The sequence below is a fragment of the Homo sapiens genome, chromosome 7, assembly GCF_000001405.40.
Source record: "Homo sapiens chromosome 7, GRCh38.p14 Primary Assembly".
In the NCBI taxonomy this organism is placed as follows: Eukaryota; Metazoa; Chordata; class Mammalia; order Primates; family Hominidae; genus Homo; species Homo sapiens.
Genome location: NC_000007.14, coordinates 27,130,769 through 27,140,358, shown reverse-complemented (window position 1 = coordinate 27,140,358; position 9,590 = coordinate 27,130,769). Strand labels below are relative to the sequence as shown.

General features: G+C 44.2%; 1 protein-coding gene across 7 annotated transcripts in view, besides 2 other annotated features; it reads left to right on the top strand.

Moving 5' to 3' along the window:
* The window catches only part of HOXA3 (homeobox A3), a 45,574-nt gene that overhangs the window by 12,225 nt on the left and 23,759 nt on the right, over positions 1 to 9,590 (top strand). For 4 of the 7 annotated variants that reach the window (NM_001384338.1, NM_001384340.1, NM_001384337.1 and 1 more), the window contains exon 1: positions 120 to 276. The gene's annotated coding sequence lies outside the window, so the exon portion shown is untranslated. Of the gene's footprint in view, positions 1 to 119; positions 277 to 9,590 lie in introns of those variants that run through there. The other 3 variants (NM_153631.3, NM_001384335.1, NM_001384336.1) reach the window with 1 other exon arrangement.
* Positions 271 to 849: an enhancer, noted in NCBI's record as "H3K27ac-H3K4me1 hESC enhancer chr7:27179129-27179707 (GRCh37/hg19 assembly coordinates)". NCBI's record gives its function as "activates a minimal SCP1, AML or CMV promoter by ChIP-STARR-seq in naive H9 embryonic stem cells {active_cell/tissue: H9 hESC(naive)}" and the evidence as "EXISTENCE:reporter gene assay evidence [ECO:0000049][PMID:30033119]".
* Positions 9,375 to 9,444: a silencer, noted in NCBI's record as "silent region_18042". NCBI's record gives its function as "represses an Ori minimal core promoter by ATAC-STARR-seq in GM12878 lymphoblastoid cells {active_cell/tissue: GM12878}" and the evidence as "EXISTENCE:reporter gene assay evidence [ECO:0000049][PMID:35858748]".

Genomic DNA, 9,590 nt, shown 5'->3' with positions numbered 1-9,590 from the left:
TGAATTAGATCGTAAAATCATCCATAGCACAGACAGATCGGCTCACTGGCTATAAAACGTCACGTGGGGCCATTAAAGTAAGTTTTATGGTTTTGGGGAGTTGACATCCAACATTATATACCACATAACATATAATCTCACTAACGCTGGACTCCATTTGACTCTTTTGCAGGCTACGTGTGCCGCCTGGCCATTCAAACTGTCAATTTTAGGTCCAGAAGTGTCCAAACCACAAGTTCTCAAAACTCTCTGAAAAATGGCTCCCTCCGAGTTAAGGTAAGCTCGCCTCCTGAGCGCTTTCAAGTTTATTTGTACTTTGGAAACTTTCTCTCTCTCTCTCTCTCTCTCTCTCTCTCTGGTTCAATAACTCAGGCTGCCTCTGAATTCGAAAAGGCAGAGCAAACTTTCCCTCTGCCCAAAAGAGCAGCGCCAGGAGCCAACTCTGCGGAGGCAGCAGAGTGAGCAGCGCCTGTGGCCGCGCCGCATCCCCAGGCCTAACTTTAATTGCAGCACAACCGCGGATGTTAATGACTTCCGCTGCTCCCGCCGGCGTGCAAAAAGATGATTTTTGTGTGCGAATGGGCCTGTGTGTGGGGACCTGGCAGGGCCGCACCCCCAGTCCCCCGCGCAATTGCTGGGCCGGCCGGGGCCAGCTCCTGGGGGTCGCGGAGCCCTGGGGTCGGGGCTGGGAGACAGTGGGGCGCCGGCCGCGGGCGCCGAGGGCCGCGCTGCGCTCAGGAGTTTGAAAGAAAGGCCGGGGCAGGGCCGAGGCGGACTCTGGCGGGATTCCTTACGGGGCTGTGGCAATATGTCTTCGCGGGCCGGGGTCATTTGGCAGGGCTGAATTGAGGCGGCGGCCTTCGGGGCCGGGTTTCAGGCTAGCTCGCGAGAGCGGGAGGGTGGCAGAGGCCGGCGAGGCTGGGGCTGCACCTCCAGGCTGGGCCCCCGGGTTGCAAGGTGGATCCTGGGCTGCTAGCGCCCACTGGACCCTGAGGACCAAGGATCCCCACCCTGGTGTGGGGGGGTGTTCAGGACCCCCTCCCCCGCACCCGGGACCAGGCCCTGAACCCTGTTTGCCTGCATGTTCTTTTTATTTCGGCGGGACTGTTCTCAGCCGCTTGTGAGTCTGAAGCAATAAACTTTATGGCCGGATTTAACTTTAGTCTTTGAATCCCCAGGCTAATTGAAAGGGGTTAAAGCGCTTTCTTTTCTTCCGCTTTGCCTTTCTTCTCCCTCTCTTCTTTCCTGTTCCTCTCCTTCTTTGTAGAATTAAAAACATCTACGCACAGGACCCTCAGAAGGCAACTTAGGCGGCCCCCTGGATAACATTAAGATTGGAGAAATTCACTCCCCCTCAACATACAGGCGAATTCTCTGTTCCAAACTGTGCTCTAAAGTTTTGGGGGAAATTGAGGTGTCTTCAGTGCCCAACTTAAAAGTCCCCAGAGCCATTAGGTTGTTTTTCCTGACACATCATAAACGGTAGTTTAGGGAAGAAATTGGTCCTTTGTCAGTAGGAGATTTCCGCCTTTCTTTTGTTAGTTGCTCTTTCTGTTTGATCCCAGGAAATTTACATAATCTATGATTTCCAGAACAGTCTCCAAAATTGCACCAATGGGTGAAGTAAGGTGAAATAAGTTTATCCTGGGCACAATTCCATATTGGCCCCAGTCACCCCTTCTGGCCCCAACCCCCCATATTCTTCAATGGCAAAACCCAAGCCCAGTGACTGGGGACTGTGGCCTGTCCTGGGATCTTTTTCTGGATGGGTACCCACAAGGGACCCAGTAGATTTCCTCCAATCCTATTTTAGGAATTAAGCCAAATTCTCCTACTGCATTCAGAAATGAAACAAAAAATAGGATCTGCTTTTCTCCTTAGGAGCTGGGCAGTTTTCAGCAAGTATTAATTGGTAAAGATACCTATTAAGTGCTTAAAGTGAAAAAATTGAAAGTATAGATTTGGAATTTCAATAAACTTATTGTGCAGAGGCCACCTACACTCAACATAAGTCCAACAGATGTCCCTAAAGTCAGAGGTCCAGAAAGCAAAACCTAGAAAGTTTTTTTGAAAAATCAAAACCCTCCCACAAGTGCTACTTCTCATGAATAGTGGCAAGGTGAAGAATCCTGAAGTCATTGTGTGTAACCTATTAAAGTAAACATTGGTATTTCAGCATTCAAGAAGATGTGTCCACATCTTAGTGGGAACAAGGATATAAACTCTACATGGGTATGGGTTCTCTTTTATAATGTTATGTGTCTGTGAGAATACTGGATTCCTTGTTTTGCTGCTCTGAATTTTGGGCTCCTTATTGGAAAATATTGCGTTATGGTTCCATTTTAGTTACTGATTTGGTGATCTTGCTTGAGTGATTTCTTGGTGATTGAAATTAGAAAAAAAAAAGAGTGACGGGGATTCTGCCAGTTTAATTTGAGTTACTTACACAGAAAATATCCACACTACTTCATGGCCATATTCCACCCTGGGGTGTGGGAATGAGCAGAAAGCCTGTTGAAGTCATATCCAGTACCACAGAACATAGAGAATCTTTCCAAGGAATGAGAAAAATTACAGGCTGTAAATATTGTCAGCTTGCTTATTTCTGTCTGTTTTAATCTTCACAAAACTTAAGTAGAATTTAAGAGAGCAGGCAAACCCACATGGCCACATGGAATTAAAATGACTTTAAAAATACATCATGCAGTCAGACCTATGTGTTACTGGAAGATTTTTTTCTTTCTTCCTATTTTCATAGGAAGCATAATAAAGAGGATGGCTGGTTTTCTGCTCATTCTGTAGATAAGTTATTTCTTTTGTGGATTCTTTTGGGTTGTTCTTGCAGAGGAACTTACTAAGAAAAAATATGTCTGTCACTGAGGGCTTTATGAAGACATCCAGCCTCAGCCGGTGGCAGAAGTGCGTGTCTGTGCTCCTCCTCAGCGGCAATGTGCGGGGGCTCGTTTGTTCCCACAAGCTGAAGAGACAATATTTCTGAACTATAAATACAACAGGAAGCTTCTGGTCACACTTACTTAGTGGTTTGTTAGGGTTTCCATGGTCTAATTTCACAACATTATGCCAAGATTCCCTTTCTCCTGCTCTTTCCCCTGCTTCATTGTTGGCGGCTCTGAGAGAGCAAGACAGAATTTCCCACCAAAAAACAGAGTCCTGTTCATTTGTTGAGATTCTGAGAGTATTATATCGAAATAATTAGTGAGTGGAAAGCAAATCACATCTTAAAAGATAGGCAATTAAAGAGGAAAACAATCCTTTTAGCTTAAAAGATGCCCTTCTCAGCCTCCCCCCTGCCTTGGCTGGGGGTCTGTCCATGGCTTGCCCACCATGGAGAGTGCAGAGCATTGTGGGCTCCCTCCCTTTGGTTTCTGAGGAGGAGTTTCCTTCTAGTCAATGGCAAAACTATAAACGGGGCTCCCAGGCAGGGCTGAGGGGGTCAGCCTAAGCTCCCACCCAAGTAGGGGAGGGGATCCACAGCCCCAGCCATTCTAAGCCCCAGAACTTGAAGGTCTGCCCAGGTTTGTTTTGTTTGTTGTTGTTCACAAATAAATTTGTTCTCCCACCAGGTCCCCTCCCCACAAACCAGTCTTTTCAATAATAATATTTGTTATGAAGGTTATTAGATAATTATTGCGATTTTGTGAAGCAGCCCTTGCTGGAGGTGAAGTCTGTCATCGCCTAACAAATGACGCCCGCGCAGTTCACTGCCGGGTTAAGTAAATGCAGAGAAGATAAATCTGCACACCCTAGGAATCGCCAGCAGAGCACGCTTTAGTACAAGTTCACAGTCAATTCACCCGCTTGGGCCAGCTCTCCCAACAATTAGGGCTGCGTCTTTAGTTTTAAATAAAGGGAAAAAGTGTCTCCACCTCCCATTGCCTGCTTTCCCCCATCTTCTCTTTTCTTTCACTTTTTGCAAGGTTCTCCCATTCTGCTCCAAATTTTCCTTGTAAAATAGAATCACGAGTGATTTCAAGTTAATCTAGTTCCTAGGTGCTAACGAAGAGGTCATAGGCTGATTTAACAAAAAGTACAGTCACAAACACACAAAAATATCCATTTCACCCTCTAATTTCAAATGGCAGTGGCAGAAGCAGGGCATCCTGAGATGCTGGGGGGCCCCTTCCCCCTGAAAGAAGAGGCTCGGCTTTGTGTATCTTTGCGGTTAGTGCGTTACAACTGCAGGTCAAAAAGTTGAGGGTCAAAAGTTTACATTGTGCAGTGCTCTTAGTCATCTGCCCAGACAGAGTTTGATGTCAATGTTAGAGCTGTGATCTTGACTATCAGCACAAAAGATAAAATGGCTCAGAGTGACGCGTGTATCACGGTATGGACTCCAGGTGAACCCTAGTGGTTGAATGACCTCAATTACGGAGGAAAGGATAGAAAATTCCTCTTTTCAAGAGTAATACATGCTGTATCTCATCTTGAATTATCGCTCCCATTCTGAGGGAATAGCAGCAGGTAAATAGGCATAGATTACTGAAACATCAACACCTTAGGTGTTGGAGAACCAGGAGTCTGTGGGTTTGTCACAAAATAAAAATGCTAAAAACTCATCTGTGGAGCTTTAAAAACTAATGTCACAAGTTTCCAATATTTCATTATGCCTTCAAAGGCAACAGAATGGTGCAGGAAACCTCCTTTATTTGAAAAGAGGGATTCTGATTGGCCGGTTTTTTGTCTTTTTAGTACACATGATGACCCCTAAAGTGTGTAAGAATAAATGCAAACACAGACACTTCTTGCAAAATATAATCTTTGCAGTTTTCAAACACAGAATATGCTTTTTCTGAAACTACAGTCCGCTGAATGCAAAGCGTTCTGAGATCTGAGAAGGGGAAGGAAGGAAGTGGAAACCCTCCTGAAAGACACAGAATTCTCCCTTCACCCCTTCCACCACCACTGCCAGTGACAAAATGCTTACTGGTGCCATGAAAATGTTCCTGTTTGGAAATTTTTTTAATGTTTATTATTAAACCACAATTGAATGTAAGAGAAATGCTACAAGCTATAAGTGAATAACTAGACTGTAGGGAATGCAGAAAGGTGAAATCCACAAATAACAGGCTACTCTGTAAGACCACCAGGACAGAATAGAATATTTTCTATTCTTCAGAATGTACTTTTTAATGATACACGTGGAATTAAAAAAAAAAGCCAAGGAGAAGATAAAGCAACCTAAGAAGAAGGGTGGGAGAGCAGAAAAGAAAGAGAATAGTGTATTAAGGAAGCCGACTAGAACCATGCCTCATGTGTGAGTTGCAACTGAAGAGCTAAACAATATTTTATTTTTCATGCATCTAGAATGGCTTTAAGTGTTGGTGCTGTAAGAATCTATTTTCCAGAGGACATATTTCCCTTTTCTATGAATTGACCTTCAAGGGATCAGTATAGGAAAACAGAGAAGAGAAAAGTGAAATATTTTCCCTAGGTTTTTCTTTTTTAACTTTGGAAATAATTCATCTACTCAGAATGTGGACTCTTGCAGGAATGTTTAAGATCATCCCAATATTTTGGTTGATTGGATTTAATGGTGCCAGGTATGTTCAGTGGTAAAGTAAATATTTTCCAAACACTGCCTTCATGGAAGTAATCAGGGTGCTTCTGTGCAATGTGTAAAGTTTTCACTCTGGCCAAGAGCTTGAAGCCAAATGGGGGTTTGCCAGATGAAACAGAAGAAAGGAAACAACTGTGGTGATTGCTGTTGCAGCAGTGAACATTTCACCACATTTGGGCTAGTGAAATGAGGAAAACTGAAACCCCTCGATGAGTCAACAAGACAATTACGTGTCTCTTTGGGAAAAACCTTTTTATTGTGCTTTTTGGTTAAAAACATGTGACACACCTTATAGACATGTCAGCTTCAAAAACCATAGATACCTCTTAGCTAGTCTTCAAAGTAAAAGAAAAGAGTACTTGCAGAATTTATTGCTTTTAGTGTGCTTGCTTTATCTGGAGGATTTTGAACCTCAGGCCTCTCAAACAATCCCAGTTAAAATTCATGTGTAATCCCAATATGAATATCAGTCCTCATCCCTGCGTTGTGTGCATTATTTTAAACTACTACAAGAAAATTATCCCCAAAGAATTAATTGGTCAAATGGCTGGTAAAGTGTTGTTCCTCTCAAATCTTGTGTCTAGTGTAGGTGGTGGGGAAGCCTTCAAATGCCACCATCAGGCGTTTTGAAATTCTGCCATTCCACTGTTCAGCTCTAGAGACATGCATCAGATAGAGAACAGTCTGGGGGACTCTCGCTCTAAAGAACAAAGGACAAATACAGTCAATACATTCCATAACGTTTACATTTCCTTTGGCTTTTCCCCTTGGTTTTTCCTGAGAAGGAGTGACCTGGGCAAAGCACCCTGCTCTCTAAAAGACACTGTATAGACCTTTTAGAAGCGCAAAGTCCAAGGCCGAGGTGAACTTCAGGTCAGTGCGTCTAACAAATATGAAAATGTCGGCTAGTGAAGGGCGCGCCTTGTGATTTAACAAAGACTGTCAATGTGTAAGATTAATAAGAAACAAAATGCACACGGTGTCACTGTTCGGTCACTTTGAAACTTGGGACAGGGTTGCATTCAAGAGGGAATGCTGTTACAAATATATTCAAAATGATTCAAATCAGATTCAAACCAAGCTGCAAAACATTGCCTCCCTTGCACCCTCCCTCTCCCTCCGACTCCCTTCACTCTTCTCCATCTGGGATTCGAGGACATGATGAAAAGTTATTTCACCTAATGGGATTTTAAGAAAGCTTTTGTTGGGAATATATGTTATCCCTGCACGTGGAAATGAGCAAACGTGCTCACCAGTTTCCTAAGGAAAGGATAACGCTTTCACCCCGCTTGGGACTGGAGCCAGTTGGTGTGTGAGGATTAGCATGCTCCCTCTCTGCTACATTTCAGGGCATCCCATCTTTTCTCAGGCGAGATGCTGCTGGTAAACTTCAGTTTGTTTATTAATTGAGTTAGTTTCTTCCTGGCTTTACTTTGGTGTCTTGGATATTGTGTAAAGGCAAGAGGTATTTTTTTTAAATGTTTTTCAAAAGATTATTTGATTCAATGGAATGATGCTATGGTTTGCAAAGGGAGATTGAGGAAGGTTCAGAAAAGGTACTGAGATTGTTTATTACAGCCATAAATCTTGCAGTAAAATGTCAAAATGTCGGTGTTGAGATAACACTTGGTGGTCCTGGCTCCGTTTGTGTTTATGATACGAACCACAAAGACAAGTTACAGGCCTTGGGGGATTCTGTGTAAGGCCATCTTCCTAAAGTAATAGAATCACACAAAACACAGGCACAGCTAACTCGTTTGGGTTAACCGTATACAAAACAGTGTTTATGTCTCGTTAATACTTAAAAATAGAAACTTGGTACAAGGTTCTGAGGCTAAACAACAGAATTTTGTGTTTTAGTGTCTGTAAATATTAAACAGATATGGTTAAGACCCTAGTACTCAAGGCTGATGACATGAGAAGGAGGGAAGATTTCCTTGTCATGCTTTTTGTCCCCCTGAAACTTATAGGGTTCAGATTTGTAATACGTATGTCTATATATTATTTATATTACATTTTATATAACCTATGTGTATATTATTTTTTCTTGCTAGGGAGAGATATTGGTTCAGGTAGATGTATCACATTCTAAATTTTTCCTCCAGTCTAGAGAGGATGGCTAAAGATTACACTCAGTGTTGATTTCTGTCTGTGGCTCAAATTTCTTTAAAAACAAATTTTCAGGGTGCCTCATGTGAATGGACAGCACTCTTCACACTCATATACACCTAACGTGGAAAATCTCTTTGTACCTCTTCAGGGTGATTCCAGTTAGAAAGCTAATATGATCCCCTTTTTAACCTCTTTTCCTAAATTAGTTTAAAGATTAGTCCCATATAATAGGCTTTATGTGGCTAAGCATTAAGTGACTATCCATCAAATGGATATATTCCAGCATTTAGTAACTCATATGAGTAACCAGTATGAATGAAGATAGAATTGACATTCCTTTTCAAGTGTCTCCAGGCTTAGGAAATAATTTTCCTTGTCTGCGTTCCAGACTCAGTTGTGAGAAGGCTGTTTATACTGCTCTTTGAAAAATCAACTAAGGTGCACCAGCTGAAAAATCCTTGCTTTTGCATGCCAATATGAAAATATTTTTAGAATGGTGACTATGCTAGTTTACACTGCTTTAATTTAGGCTGAAAAGTAGAGGATCTAGATATGTCTACTACTCAGAAAAGAAAGGGAGAAAGCACACAGCACAAATAAGGCATCAGTATTTACTTCAAAGATCAACATTAGGTGGAATTAATAAGTAATTTATTTGTTAATAATGGCGTAATTAGTGTACCCATCAAATTTCAATTACCAAATAGCAGGCAACAGTCTCCTCTCCCTCCTTTCCGGAGCTTCTGATATCGTTAATACGCTAATTTTCAGCAATTCAGAAATTATAGACTGTCCTGCAAATATAACTCTAGCCTCAGATACTGCCTGAGAAAGCAGGATCTAAAAGAGAAAACATGAAATTCTTAGCTGGAAAAGACCCATCAGCGATCAGACCCGGCAAGGTGTTTATTCTACCCTTAGCTTGTTTTTGTTTGGGGATAGTTCTGAAATAGGAAGTTATTGTTTTCAAAGCTCGGTTCTGTGGAGGTGTTGCTTCTATCCATTCCCATCCTTGGGCCACCTTCTCTCTCACAATCGCACCTAGTAAATGCGGGCATATTTAGCTCTCACATCGACAACCCCCGTCAAATTAGATGCTATTACGAAGGTTCCAATTTTTCTTAGGAAAACACGAAACAGATTGTCTCTGAAAGAAGGAAAAAATGAAAAGTGTCCATCCAGTTATAATGGAATGGCCTCGATTTACATCCTTGGGTCGATTTCTCTTAGCTGCCCGCCCACCCTTTGCAGCTTCTGCCAAGCTTCTCAAAGCAAGGGCTCTCAGGCTGACACGCAAGGAGCAGGGTGTGGGGAAGGGGGATCTGCGGTTGAGAAAATGTGTCTGGTGGCCTCTCAGTGGCGTACATAAAAACCAGGATGCCCCTCGGTCCCAACGCCCTTCCTTTCGCCTGTTAGCCTAGAACCCCTGAAGGACACGAAGCCTGACTGGGTTGCGCCCGAGGTCAGCGCTGAGTCGCGGCCGCCAGACAGCCCGAGGCCTAGGCCAGCAGTAGGGCAGGCAGAGGGCTCCCGAGAGGACCTACAGCCTGACAGGGCCTGAATTCCCAGCGGGAACCAAAGCTGGGGGGCTGGGGTCCAAAGCTCCTGCTCCCTCCCCCAGCCCAGGGGCCGGACAGCAGCATCCATCACGCACCCGCGCGTTTCCTGATCCGGGTCCGCGCGCGCGGTGCGCCCATTGGTGGGGGCGCTGCACGTGGGGCACGGGGCGGGGCGCGCGCTGGGCTGGGGAGGAGCGGCTCGAACTTTGGTGGCGGCGTCTGCGGGAGGGGGAGGAGTGGGCACTTGACAGCGGGGGGAGGGGAAGGGCGCAGAGGAAAGGGGGATGGGAAGCGAGGCAGGAGGGGGAGGGGCCTCGGCAAGCCCAGAAAAAACGACAACG